Genomic DNA, 14,862 nt, shown 5'->3' with positions numbered 1-14,862 from the left:
TTGTCAAGACTGTCTGCCAAAGTACATCACAAGCTTAACATGTGCTTACTGCCTGCTCTCAAAAACGAGTCTCTGTGAGCCAGCCAGCTGCTAGCATTTGTGTTATCCTCTAGCTAGTTAGGTCTCAAACTGGGTTGCATCACTATTTCCCAAAAGAAGCTCCACAAGCTTTCTGTTGTCTCCTCTGTCTCTCAGATTACTAATCTGGTCTGTTTTATAAAATTCCTCAACTTTAACCTTAGAGCCATGATACAAAAATTTATCAATATGAAAATAAATATAAAATTTATAAACATTAAAATGTTCCTAACTAAACTATTCATTTTCCTGACAAACCTGTTCATCTCATGTACTGTTTCTGTTATGATGCAACCATCTTTGCAAACATCCACTTCAAAAAAGTTGAAGTCATAACAATGACAGTAACATTTATTAAGTACTCTTAATGTCCCAGACATCATGCTTTTATCTCCCTTAATTCTCACAGAAGAAGTTTTTGGGAAGAAAATGAACACATGTTCCTGATCTCTCTCTTCCCACAGTTCCTTACTGGAGCAACTCAGGGACTAAAAGCAACTGCCAGAGTCCCTTGGAAGTAATCCATGCTTCTGAGAAAATCTGTGAGCTCTCATAGGAGAGGGTAAATGAGCGACATATGAAGTCTGTAGCTCAGGAAGGCTGACCCCTGTCTAAGAGGAAAAGGGGGCCTGCATAGGTAGATAGAGTCACTCTCTTGCCAAGTGTCTGTGAAAACTGTCTCCTTTGTACTTGGAGAGCCTGAGAGCAAAGAAGCTCCTTCCTCTCTCTTTTAAGTGAAGGGGACCCAGTTTACCAACTTTTCTGACATTGGGCTAGAATAGAGGTTCTAGAAATACTGTGCCTGGACCAGAAGCAACAGTATCACCCGGGAACTTACTAGAACTTGTTAAATAAATGCAAATTCTCATGTCTTACTGCATGTCTATGAATTAAAACTCCGAAAGTGGAGCCCAGCAAGCTGTATTTTAATACAAGTCCTCCAGGAGATTGTGATAAACACTCATGTTTGAGAACCACTGGGCTTGCAGAGCAGAAAGCTTAATATCCTCCACCTGCTGGTTTATGACTATTAGGGAAACCCAAGCCACCTGACCTGTAAACGTGCTGAGGAACTCACAGCCATTAGTAAAGCACAGGAAATAACAATGCAGGTAATAACTTTAGTAAATTGAGGGAGATCCCTCAGCTGATCAATCAGAAAAGGTCACAGAAAAATAATCAGACAGATCAAAATTTTAATCCTAATAACAGCCCTGTTAGTTCCCCTGATAAAAATTGAGGCTTAGACAGGTTAAATAACTTGTTCAAGGTCACACTACTAATAAATAACCAAGATTTGAACCCAGAGCTGCTTTGCCCTCCATATCCTAATTAAGTCATAATTAAGTGTACCTCAGCTGTTTCTGTACAATCTTTTTTAAAACCTTGATTTAAACTGTGATATATGGAGAAAACATATATAAGAGTGCATATATCTATGTGTGTATATTATATATATGTGTGTATACATCTATTTATAGTAAATATATATCAAGAGACGTTTGTATTTATGTATATTTATATGTGTTATTGTTACACAGCCAGCACCCATATAATCGCCACCACTTAGGGCAAAATAGAACATTGCAGCCCCAGAAGCTCATATATGCCTTTCTCTTCCTCCTGGAAGTAACCATTAATTTGACCCTTGTGATAATTGTTTAATCACTTTTTCTTACTAAATCACCTCTATAAGGATTCTCAAGCAACATAGTTTGGTGGGTTTTTTCCCCTGTTTAGCACCTTATGTGAAAGGAATCATACTTTTTATATTCTTTTGTATCCTGCTTCTTTTGCTCAATATAATGTTTGTGAATGCATCCGTGTTGTATGTAGCCATAGATCATTTTCATTGCTAAGTAGTGATGCATTCAGTGGGTCATAAACATTTTCTTTATCCTGGAATTCATTTCTTTGTTCCCACTGTCACTCTCCTAATTCAAGAATTCAGTATATGTTTTCTTAGTAATTAAATTATCCCAGTGACCCCTAACTGTTCTCCTCATCTCCAGGCTCTCTCTGACAGCTGGCAGAGTAATTTTTCTGAAGGTCAACACTGATTATGTGTTGACATTATTCAAGGCATTGGTGACCATTTTAAGGATTGTGGTTTTTATTCTAAAGGCAACGGAAAGCCCTTTCTGGCTGATAGCTTTGACTTTCTAAGTTCAGTTACTCCTACACCAGAGTCCCTAGACCATCAGCTTAGATCCTTTTAATAATTATGTCTGCAAGAATACAACCAAGTGTGCTAGGCCCTTATTATGCTCTGCATAGTGCCTTGGGATTGCTTAGGCTGCTAGTTGGTTCTGTCAGCCCTGGCCCCATTGGTTGCCAATTCTCTTTCATTACTCGCCAATTCTCTTTCATTACTCTGTAATGAACTGTTGTGTGCCTAGCATATCTCACAGATGAGGCCATATAAGTTAATGCATTTATGGATAAAATGTGATGACTTTTGATAGTACAATAGTGAACTATTAATTTTGCTAAAAATGGCAAGTGAAAGAAAAAAATGGAATAACTAAGAATTGTAATATTTAGCTGAAAATCTCACCTAAGTGCCCTACGGTAAAGACATTTCAAGTGTCTTAACAGACATCTCTGATTCATACCATTAAATATAATGAGAATCACAGAATGTTAGAGCAAGAAGAGGCTTCTATAGTTATAAATGTAGTCACAGACTATAATTTTTCCCCCTCACTCTTGCTGTCATCTTACAGACTATAACTTTAGTAGAGAGGTTGGCAAACTTTTTTTTGTAAAGGGACGGATAATAAATATTTTCAGCTTTGCAGACTGTCTGGTCTCTGTCACAGCTACTGAACTCTGCCTTTGTAGAGTGAAAGCAGCCATAGACAATATGTAAATGATTGGGTCTGGCTGTGTTCCAATAAAATTTTATTGGTGGCAGGCAAGATTTAACCCATGGACTATAGTTTGTCAACCCCTACCTTAATGTGTAATTTCAGTCCTCATTGCTGTTTGTTGTTTTGGTTTATTCCTTAGTTTTTAAAAATTAAGTTGTAATTTACAGTCAATAAAATGTAGTAGCTTGGCTGGGTGCGGTGGCTCACTCCTGTAATCTCAGCACTTTGGGAGGCCAAGACAGGTGGATCATGAGGTCAGGAGTTCGAGACCAGCCTGGCCAACATGGCGAAACCCCATCTCTACTAAAAAGACAACAATTAGCTGGGCTTGGTGATGGACACCTGTAATCCCAGCTGCTCAGGAGGCTGAGGCAGAAGAATTGCTTGAACCTAGGAAGCAGAGGTGGCGCTGAGCCAAGATTGCACCATTGCACTTCAGCCTGGGTGACAGAGCGAGACTCTGACTCAAAAAAAAAAAAAAATGTAGCAGCTCTTGAGTGCAGTGTCTGATGAGTTTTTGACAAACTATTCGCCTGTGTAACCCCACCGTCCTAATCAAGATATAGAATATTTCCATTGCCCCAGAAATTGCTTTCATGCCTCTTTCCCATCAGTCCTTACCCCTGCCCCCAGAGGTTAACCACTGTTCTGATTTCTATTCTCATAGAATAATTTAGCCTGTTCTTGAACTTCATATAAATAAAATTACACAGTGCACGTCTGAGTGTATGGCTTCTTTTACTCAACTTGTTTGTGAGAGTCATCCATGTTGTTGAGGGTGTCAGTAGTTCATTCCTTTTATTACTGAATAGCATTCCATTTTATGAATATACCACATTTTTAGGAATATCCCTGTATTAGTTTCCTAGGGCTGCCTTAACAAATGACTACAAACGTGGTGGCTTAAAACAACAAAAGGTTATTCTCTCATAGCTCTGGAGGCCAGAAGCCCAAAATCAGGGTGTTGGCAGGGCTGTGCTCCCTCTGAAGACTCTAGGGGATAATCCTTCCTTTCTTCTTCCAGCTTCTGGTGGCTCCAGATATTCCTTGGTTTGTGGCAGCATAACTCCAGTCTCTGCCTCTGTCTTTATATGGCCTTTCTCCCTGTGTCTCTGTGTCTTTCTTATCTTCTGTCTCTTATATGGACAGTGTCATTGATCTCATCTCAAGATCCTTAATTTCATCTGCAAAAATCCTTTTCCCAAATATAGGCACATTCACAGTTTCTGGGTGGAATCTTTTAGGGGGTCACTATTTAACCTACTATAATATCACAGTTTGTCAAGTCACCTAATAATATACATCTGAAGTATTTCTTTTTTGTTGTTATTATAAATAAAGCCGCTATGAGTCATACCATACCAGGCTTTTTGTAGATTTGTTTTCAGCCTCACAGTTTTTGAATTCCAGTTTTAATTATCTTAATATAAAATGTGATTAATTTTCTTTTTAGTGATAATTACCCATAATATTTTTAATTTTGGCAGGAATTTCTGTAAGAATTGTTCAACCTGTATACATCTGACTTAGATATTTTGTACAACTGAAAACATAATAATGCCAAGAGACAAGATACAGAATTCTACTATCTTCATTTTTGTTTCTCAAGATAATATCAAGAAATGAACAAGTTCCATGAGGCAGTGCCTTTAACTCATTAAAATATCAGGAGTACCTGATTAAAGTGAAAAAAAAAAGCAAAAAATAAACAACAACAACAACAAAACAAAGACAGTTTGACTCCATTGTGTCTTTTGTTTTGTTACGATACTTTATTAGTACTTGCAGCTATCACCTAGGCTAAATTTGATACATTTATCTCATATGGGAATGACTAATACTGACCTTCCACTGTTTTGGAATTTAAATGCAGCTCCTTAATAAACAACCAAATAAAGCCATTCATCTGGGCTGCCCTCCCACCCTTAGATTCTGATAGGCCAACTATACTACTGGTCCGTGGTGTGGAGACTCTCCAGCTGTATTTAAGAGTATGTGTCTGAATGTCACTTTGCAATGAAAGCTTCTTAGAGAGCAAGAACTAGGTCTCATTTGTCTATGTATCTCACAACTCTAGGCCCAGCTCAATGCTTTCTTAATCTTACAAGTGTTTCCTGACTAAATAGTACCTGTTAATAAAAAATAAGGAAAAGAGTATCTTATTTCGTAGTAGAGTAATTCCACTAATGTAGAACAATTCCAGCTAATGAAATTTTTAGAAATAGTTTTAATGAATGATTCCTTTTTTTAATCCACTAGAAAGTCTCTGATTATTATTTATTACGCTGGTGGTTTCTTATTGAATATTTGTTCCCTTTGTTCAAAATTCTAGGAACTGGTGAGTGGCTTCACTACTCATTTATAAAAGCAATTTAAAACACTTCTCAGTCCCTGTTGACACTTGGCAAATCTAACAGAGAAAAGTGTAGAGTTCTCATTATACTTTTTAGACAGCTTTAAAACATGGTCTTGTAAATGGTTTGGAGTTTTTTTTAATGGGCACAGAATTATGTAATGTGCTTTGTCATTACCACTCCAGTCTTTTGCAATGTCTATAAATCGAAAATCTCATTTAACTGTTTTAGAAAAGTATAGATACAGTTTCATTATTTGGAATAGAATTACTTTGAAACTTCTAGGTAAATAAATTTGGAAGTTTATTCTGTTCCTTTCATTTCCCTTTTGGTTGTAATAGTTCTACCTCTGAAATCAGAGTTGACAAACATATCCTATTGAAACCATATTTTCTTCATTTTTGACCCAATTATCCACAGGATGAGGTGTAACAGAAAAGACAGTGAAGACTATGATAACACAGCCACATGTAGATAGTGTAACTTATGATAAATATATTTAAAGACACATAGTGCTGTTTTCAAAAACACAATTTAAAATCAAATAGGCATTTTAAAGTCATTTCGTGTGTGGCATTATTAACCAGATAATATTATTAGCCAGGATTTCTAAGATATCTTCCACTAGTTCAGGAATATTTTCAACTATAAGTAACAGAATAACAGACTAACAGATCTTAAACTAGAGGAGTTTGTCTAACAACAAGAGTTAGGTGCCTTCTGGCATTGGTGTAGTGGCTTAATGTGAGGGCTCTGGATTGGTATCTCTGTGATTTCCTTTGCCTTCTCTTCATAGTCACAAGATGAATGCAAAAGCTCCAAGCACCAAAATTTTCAAATGTAGGAAGCAGGAGATATGACTGGACAGATCTTTCTGCTTTTTTTTTTTCAAACCAGGAAAGACATATTTTTTTTTCGAATCATCCATTGAGTAGATTTCCCCTTGCATTTCAATGACCAGAATGTGTCACATGACTATCTCTAGCTATAAAGGAGGCTGGGAAAATAATTGTTTACTTTGATCTCTGTAATTAGAGGGAGGCAAGGAAGAAGGGGTTGGGAATAACTTTTGGGTAACCAGTCACATATTGCATACACTAGGTGTTTGGTAACTATATGTTAAGTGATCTATACTCTTAAACAGAGCTAATGTTCCAGGTATACATCCACCCCTTTGTTATCTTTCCTATCAAATTTATATTTTCTTTTCCTCATTTGTTCAGAAACAGAAGTTCTTAGTTGTACTACTAGTTATCAGCAAACATTTATGATATGGAATTTATCAGCAAACATATCTATGATATGGAATACATTGGTATTTATTAGAAAACATATTAGTATTTATCAGCAAACATATTAGTATTTATTATCAAACATATTAATATTTATCTGCAAACGTATCTATGATATGGAATATGTTAGTATTTATTCTGTGACTGGAGAGAGAATAAGGAATGGCTTTATATAAGACATTTATCCATTCATTCAATAAATATTTATCGAGTACCTGTTATATTCCACACACTGTTCTAGGTTTTTGAGACATCTGTGGACAAAACAAAGTGCCCTGCCCTCAAGGGAGCCCACATTCTAACAGAGCATATTGACATTTTTAAAAGGTGAGTAGGATTTTTATAAATTTGATGAGGGGGAATTGCATTTCATTCAAAGTGAACAGCATCAGCAAAGACATGGACTTGTGCATAGGCATGTCCTGTTTGTGGATCACCAAGTAGCTCCATGAAGTGTAGAACACATGATGAGGACTGAAAGGGCAGCTTGCTGTCAGGTTGTGACCAGAGAAATATGAGTTTTTCCAGATCAGAACTAGCATCTTGCAAAGTTAGTACTGAAGCTTAGTAGACATCTTCACCTGGAGGACCTATGGACACTTCAAATTATTATGTCCCAAATATACTCGGTATATTAATACTTCTCCTGAAACCTGTGCTTCTCCTTTATTTCCTAACTTGGTAAATGGCACTGCTATTTTTCTGGTTTAGGCCTTCACCATTTCTCACCTGGGCTATTGCCATTATTTCCTGCCTTTTGAATCCATTCTCTCTTAAACTGCCAAGTGATTTTTGGCTGAGCATGGTGGCTCATGCCTGTAATCCCAGCACTTTGGGAGGCTAAGGTGGGAGGATCACTTGAGCCCAGCAGTACAAGACCAACCTGGGCAACGTAGTGAGACCTCATATCTACAATTTTTTTTTTTAAATTAGCTGAGTGTGGTGTTATGTGCCTGTAGTCCCAGCTACTCAGGAGGCTGATGTGGGAGGATCAGTTGAGCCTAGACTGAACCACTGCACTCCAGCTTGGGCACCAGAGTGAGACTCTGTCTAAAAAAAAAAAAATAAAGTGATTTTTTTTCTAAAACTTACGTGACCCAGAAGTTAGATGGGGGACATAGATTATGGAATATCTGTAAACTTGAGGGATGGGGTACAGTAGCGGGAGCAAATATTTGTATTAGTTTTCTATTGCCATGTAACAAATTACCACAAATTTAGAGAGGTTTGAAACAACACCCATTGATTATTCCACAGTTTCTGTGGGTCAGGAGTCACAGGCACAGTTTAGCTGGGTCTTCTGCTTAAGGTCTCACGAGGCTGCAAAGTGTGGACAGGCAGAATGGCTATTATTAAAAAATTGAAAAAAACCAACAGATGTTGGTGAGGCTGTGGAGAAAAGGGAATGCTTATACACTGTTGGTGGGAATGTAAATTAGTTCAGCTACTGTGGAAAGCAGTCTGGAGATTTCTCAAATAACTTAAAACAGAACCATCATATGACCCAGCAATGCCGTTAGTGGGTATATATTTAAAGGAAAACAAATCATTCTACCAAAAAGACACAGCCTTACCTGTTCATCACAGCACTATTCATAATAGCAAAGACATGGAATCAATCTAGGTGCCCAGCAATGGCTGGCTGGATAAAGAAAATGTGGTATATATACACAATAGAACGGTGCCATAAAAAAAGAACAAAATCATGTCCCTTGCAGCAACATGGTTGGAGCTGGAGGCCATTATCCTAAGCAAATTAACACAGGAACAGACAACCAAATACCAGCCAGGCATGGTGGCTCATGCCTGTAATCCCAACACTTTGGGATGCCGAGGCAGGAGGATCATTTGAGCCCAGGAGTTCGAGACCAGCTTGCGCAACATGACAAAACCCCGTCTCTACAAAAAAAAATACAATTAGCTGGGCATGGTGGTATACGCCTGTAGTTCCAGCTACTCAGGAGACTGAGGTGGGAGGATCACCTGAGCCCAGAGAGGTTGAGGCTGCAGTGAGCCTTGATTATGCCACTCTACTCCAGCCAGGGTGATAGAGTGCGACCCTGTCTCAAAAACAAAAAGAAAACCAAATACTGTATGTTCTTACTTGTAAGTGGGAGCTAAACAGTGGGTACACATGAACACAAAGATGAAAACAGTAGACACTGGGGACTCCAAAATGGGGAGGGAGAATAGGGTACAAGGAATGGAAAACTGCCTATTGGGTACTATGCTCAGTACCCGAGTGACAAGGTCTTTCATACCCCAAACCTCAGCATCAAGCAATATACCCAGGTAACATACCTGCACATGTACTCCCTGACTCTAAAATAAAATTTGAAAAAAAAAAAAAAAAGTGTGGACAGGGCTCTGTTCTCATTTGGCAACTTGACTGGGAAATAATCTGCTTCCAAGTTCACTCAGGTTGTTGGCAAACTTCATTTCCTTGTGTTGGTAAGGCTGAGAGCCCCAGCTTCTTTCTGGCTATTGGCTGGAGGATGCCCTTAGCACCTAGAGACCACCTGTAGTTCCTAGAGGCTACTTACATGTGGCCTTTTCCAACTTGGCTGCTTACTTCATCAGACCAGTGAGGAAAGTCTCTAGAGTGAGTCTGTGAGCAAGACCGAGCAATGTAATTATGGGAGTGACATCCCATCACCTTTGCCGTATTTTATTAGTTATAAACAAGTTAAAGGTCCTGCCCACACTCAGAGAGGTATGAATAGCAGAGATGTGAACACCAAGAGGCAAAGATCATGGGGAGCCACCTTATAGTGTGTTTGTCACAACATTTTCACAGTCTTCTCTGTCCTTGGGTTCCGCTTCATGAGTACTATCTCTGGGACTGATCTTGAAGTGAAGCCTGGTTTCTGCCAACAAACAAACCAAAAAAACAACCACTCAAAGTGTTTATGAGTTAGTATTTTATAGAAGACATAGGAGTCCTCTGCCTTTGGCAATTTTGCTGGTTTTTCTCACTTGTCTCCTATTTTCTTACAATTGTCCTAGGAAATTCCTTCTCCCTCTGGAAAGCACATCAGTCCAGCTTTTCTAGGCTTCCACTCACAAACATGTACAGTCAAATTGCTTCAGGGCTCAGCACAACAAATTTAGTCCATATTGTTTATAAAGCAATAGGGATTAAAATAGAAAAGCTTTTCCGTACATTATATCCAAATTTGATCCTGTTTCTCCTTTGCTTAAAAAGCCCTTTAATGCTTGCTTCCCTATTGCTACATAATAGGTATAAAAAATATGGAATAAATTTGAATTCCCAAGTATAACATGTGAGACCTTCCCTGATTTGGTACTTGCCTGGTTTCTGGTTACCCCCACCTTGTACTATAAGGCCCAGATTTTAGGGAATTCTTTTATAGCTTGCTTCCTGGTTCAGAAACTTGACTCCCACTGTTCTTTTTCCCTCCAATGCCTGTCATCTGTCTCCCTTTCTGTCACTCCTTCCTCTAGACATCTACTGAAGTATTATTTCCTCTAGGAAGCTTTTCCTGTCTTCTTATTTTGTAAACTCACAGAACCTTGTATGAACTGATACTAGTACCTATAACACTTTTATAACTTTTTATATGCCTGTATCTTTTTAGAAAACTTGAAGAGGTTGTCCTATCACAAAGATAAATACAGGTCAACACAGCAGGACAGAGGTGATAGCTGGAGTATATATTTGAAAGTAGTCAACATAAAAGATGGTATTTGAAGTCATGGAGTGGACAAGATCATCCAGAGGAAAATAGAAGAGGGCAGAACAAAGCAATATAGAACCTCTAATTAGGATGCCCAGTGAAGTATAAAACCAACTTCTGTTTGCAGTTCACCAGGTCTTTAGGTGCTCTTTGTATATTGCTTATTTTTTGAATTACTTTTTGTCTACACTAAATAGATTAGCCAAATGTTGTAGAGTAGTGTGGATTCTGACTACAGTCTAAATAAGGTATACAATGAAAAATTTCATTTAAGGAAAAAATATTTATCATGAAGGAATTAATTTTTTTTTTAATTTAATTTTATTTATTTATTTATTTTTTATTGATCATTCTTGGGTGTTTCTCACAGAGGGGGATTTGGCAGGGTCATACGACAACAGTGGAGGGAAGGTCAGCAGATAAACAAGTGAACAAAGGTCTCTGGTTTTCCTAGGCAGAGGACCCTGCGGCCTTCCGCAGTGTTTGTGTCCCTGGGTCCTTGAGATTAGGGAGTGGTGATGACTCTTAACGAGCATGCTGCCTTCAAGCATCTGTTTAACAAAGCACATCTTGCACCGCCCTTAATCCATTTAACCCTGAGTGGACACAGCACATGTTTCAGAGAGCACAGGGTTGGGGGTAAGGTCACAGATCAACAGGATCCCAAGGCAGAAGAATTTTTCTTGGTACAGAACAAAATGAAAAGTCTCCCATGTCTACTTCTTTCTACACAGACACGGCAACCATCCGATTTCTCAATCTTTTCCCCACCTTTCCCCCCTTTGTATTCCACAAAACCGCCATTGTCATCATGGCCCGTTCTCAATGAGCTGTTGGGCACACCTCCCAGACGGGGTGGTGGCTGGGCAGAGGGGCTCCTCACTTCCCAGTAGGGGCGGCTGGGCAGAGGCGCCCCTCACCTCCCGGACGGGGCGGCTGGCTGGGCGGGGGGCTGAACCCCCACCTCCCTCCCGGATGGGGCGGCTGGCTGGGCAGAGGGGCTCCTCACTTCCTAGTAGGGGCAGCCGGGCAGAGGCGCCCCTCACCTCCCGGGCGGGGCGGCTGCCGGGCGGAGACGCTCCTCACTTCCCAGACGGGGTGGCTGCCGGGCGGAGGGGCTCCTCACTTCCCAGACAGGGCGGCTGCCGGGCGGAGGGACTCCTCACTTCTCAGACGGGGCGGCCGGTCAGAGACGCTCCTCACCTCCCAGACGGGGTCCCGGCCGGGTAGAGGTGCTCCTCACATCCCAGACGGGGCGGCAGGGCAGAGGCGCTCCCCACATCTCAGATGATGGGAGGCCGGGCAGAGACACTCCTCACTTCCTAGATGGGATGGCGGCCGGGAAGAGGCGCTCCTCATTTCCTAGATGGGATGGCGGCCGGGCAGAGACGCTCCTCACTTTCCAGACTGGGCAGCCAGGCAGAGGGGCTCCTCATGTCCCAGACGATGGGCGGCCAGGCAGAGACGCTCCTCACTTCCCAAACGGGGTGGCGGCCAGGCAGAGGCTGCAATCTCGGCACTTTGGGAGGCCAAGGCAGGCGGCTGGGAGGTGGAGGTTGTAGCGAGCCGAGATCACGCCACTGCACTCCAGCCTGGGCACCATTGAGCACTAAGTGAACGAGACTCCGTCTGCAATCCCGGCACCTCGGGAGGCCGAGGCTGGTGGATCACTGGCGGTTAGGAGCTGGAGACCAGCCCGGCCAACACAGCGAAACCCCGTCTCCACCAAAAAAACACGAAAACCAGTCAGGCGTGGCAGCGCGTGCCCGCAATCGCAGGCATTCGGCAGGCTGAGGCAGGAGAATCAGGCAGGGAGGCTGCAGTGAGCCGAGATGGCAGCAGTACAGTCCAGCTTCGGCTCGGCATCAGAGGGAGACCGTGGAAAGAGAGGGAGAGGGAGACCGTGGGGAGAGGGGAGAGGGGAGAGGGGAGAGGGAGAGGGGAGAGGGAGAGGGAGAGGGAGCGAAGGAATTAATTTTAAGGAAACAGATAAAATGTTCTCTATGTTTTATAATTTGAGCAACTTAAATAATTTTTCAGTCTCCTGCCAGTTTAATTTCAGTAAATTCCTGTCCTAAATAGCATTTCTATTACACACCATAACATATAAACTTACAGCCTTGTGGCCTCAGTTATTTTCTTGAAATGATGAGCCCTGAGTGAATTAAAGGTCTTAATGTTCAGAGATAAGAGCTCAATTTCTCCAGATTTTATGTAGTCACTCTTTGTAATAATTCAGTAAGTACATTGAATATCTATCATATGAATCTGTTATTGCCTTTGTTGGTTTGATTGTTTTCTGACAGATGGCTTCCATAAGATACTTGTAAACTTCAGCAACCTAGTATAATGTCACTTCCTCAAATTTAATTTTTGGTTTTAAAAATACTATAAATTAGAATTAAATTGCAAGCAAAACTCAGTTTTAATCTTCAAGTTCTTTCATACAGAACAGTCTTGTATTTAGTATTCCTTCCTTCAAAATAAGTTTATTGCTAAAATTATTCACAATTTGAGAAGTGAGACAAATTGTTGTGATAAGATTTTGAAAGAGGAAAACATACTTATAGTGATTTTAAATTTATTAACTTTTTTGCTAATATGTTTGTGAGAGATTAGTAAAAGTGTTTTATATTTATTTATTAAGAATAGAGTTTTATGTTATTCCACTTGCATTGCCATAAAGAAATACCTGAGGCTGGGTAATTTATGAAGAAAAGACGTGTGATTGGCTCATGGTTCTGCAGGATATATAAGAAGCGTGGTGCCAGTATCTGCTTCTGGTAAGGGCCAGAAGCTTCCAATCATGGTGTAAGGCAAAGAGGGAGCAGGCACATCACATGGCAAGAGTGGGAGCAATAGAGAGAGATGGGGAGGTGTCACACTCTTTTAAAAAACCAGATCTCTTGTGAATTCAGAGCTGGAACTCACTCATTATCTCAAGAATGGCGCTAAGCCATTCATGAGGGATCCCCTCTTATGGTCCAACACCTTCCTCTAGACCCCCTCCTCCAATAATGGGGATTACTGTTGCGGGAAGTCAGGGACCCCAGACGGAGGGACCAGCTGAAGCCATGGCAGAAGAACATAGATTGTGAAGATTTCATGGACATTTATTAGTTCCCCAAATTAATACTTTTGTAATTTCTTATGCCTGTCTTTACTGCAATCTCTAAACATAAATTGTACAGATTTCATGGACACTTATCACTTCCCCAATCAATACCCTTGTGATTTCCTATGCCTGTCTTTACTTTAATCTCTTAATCCTGTCAGCTGAGGAGGATGTATATTGCCTCAGGACCCTGTAATAATTGCATTAACTGCACAAATTGTACAGCATGTGTGTTTGAGCAATATGAAATGTGGGCACCTTGAAAAAAGAATAGGATAACAGCAATTGTTCAGGGAATAAGAGAGATAACCTTAAACTCTGACCACCAGTGAGCCGGGCGGAACAGAGCCATATTTCTCTTCTTTCAAAAGCAAATGGGAGAAATATCGCCGAACTCTTTTTCTCAGCATGGAACATCCCTGAGAAAGAGAATGCGCACCTCGGGGTGGGTCTCTGAACTGACCCCCTCCCCGGGGCGTGGTCATTTTTTATGGTCGAGACTGCAGAGGTCAGATAGACTCGTCTCCCATAGCGCTCCCAGGCTTATTAGGAAGAGGAAATTACCGCCTAATAAATTTTGGTCAGACCGGTTGATCTCAAAACCCTGTCTCCTGATAAGATGTTATCAATGACAATGGTGCCCGAAACTTCATTAGCAATTTTACTTTTGCCTCAGTCCTGTGGTCTTGTGATCTCGCCCTGCCTCCACTTGCCTTGTGATATTCTATTACCTTGTAAAGTACTTGATGCCTGTGACCCACACCTATTCGCACACTCCCTCCCCTTCTGAAACTCCCTAATAAAAACTTGCTGGTTTTTGTGGCTTGTGGGGCATCACGGAACCTACCGACATGTGATGTCCCCCCCGGACGCCTGGCTTTAAAATTTCTCTCTTTTGTACTCTGTCCCTTTATTTCTCAAGCTGGCCGACGCTTAGGAAAAATAGAAAAGAACCTACGTGAATATCAGGGCAGGTTCCCTGATAGATTACATTTCTTTTCCTTTTCGTTTTCTCTTTTTTTGAGACAGGCTCTCACTCTGTCACCCAGGCTGGAGTGCAGTGGCGCAATCCTGAATCACTGCAACCTACGCCTCCTGGGTGCAAGTGATTCTCTCACCTCAGGCTGCCCTGGGACTACAGGTGCTCACCACCACGCCTGGCTAATTTTTGTAATTTTTGTAGAGATGGGGTTTTGCCATGTTGCCCCGGCTGGTCTCAAATGCCTGGACACAAGCAATTTGCTTGCCTCAGCCTTTCAAAATGCTGGGATTACAGGTATGAGCCACTGCACCCAGCCAGGGATTACATTTTAACATGAGATTTGGAGGGGACAAACATCAAAATCATACTAAGTTCTGTATTAATAATTTGTGGTACATTCCTGTTATACTGCTCTCAAATTATTTTGAAATGAAATGGAGGATTTTATTCATCAGAATTCCTATGGCATT

General features: G+C 40.9%; 1 protein-coding gene across 5 annotated transcripts in view; it reads left to right on the top strand.

The window, feature by feature from the left end:
• Positions 1-14,862, top strand: part of WDPCP (WD repeat containing planar cell polarity effector) — a 721,268-nt gene that overhangs the window by 20,281 nt on the left and 686,125 nt on the right. For 3 of the 5 annotated variants that reach the window (XM_047444627.1, XM_047444626.1, XM_047444628.1), the window contains exon 2: positions 6,839-6,924. The exons of the other annotated variants lie outside the window; for them this stretch is intronic. The gene's annotated coding sequence lies outside the window, so the exon portion shown is untranslated. The remainder of the gene's footprint in view (positions 1-6,838; positions 6,925-14,862) is intronic. 5 annotated transcript variants of the gene reach the window in all.

The sequence above is a fragment of the Homo sapiens genome, chromosome 2 (assembly GCF_000001405.40).
Source record: "Homo sapiens chromosome 2, GRCh38.p14 Primary Assembly".
NCBI lineage: Eukaryota > Metazoa > Chordata > Mammalia > Primates > Hominidae > Homo > Homo sapiens.
This window is presented reverse-complemented; position numbering and strand designations above follow the sequence as displayed.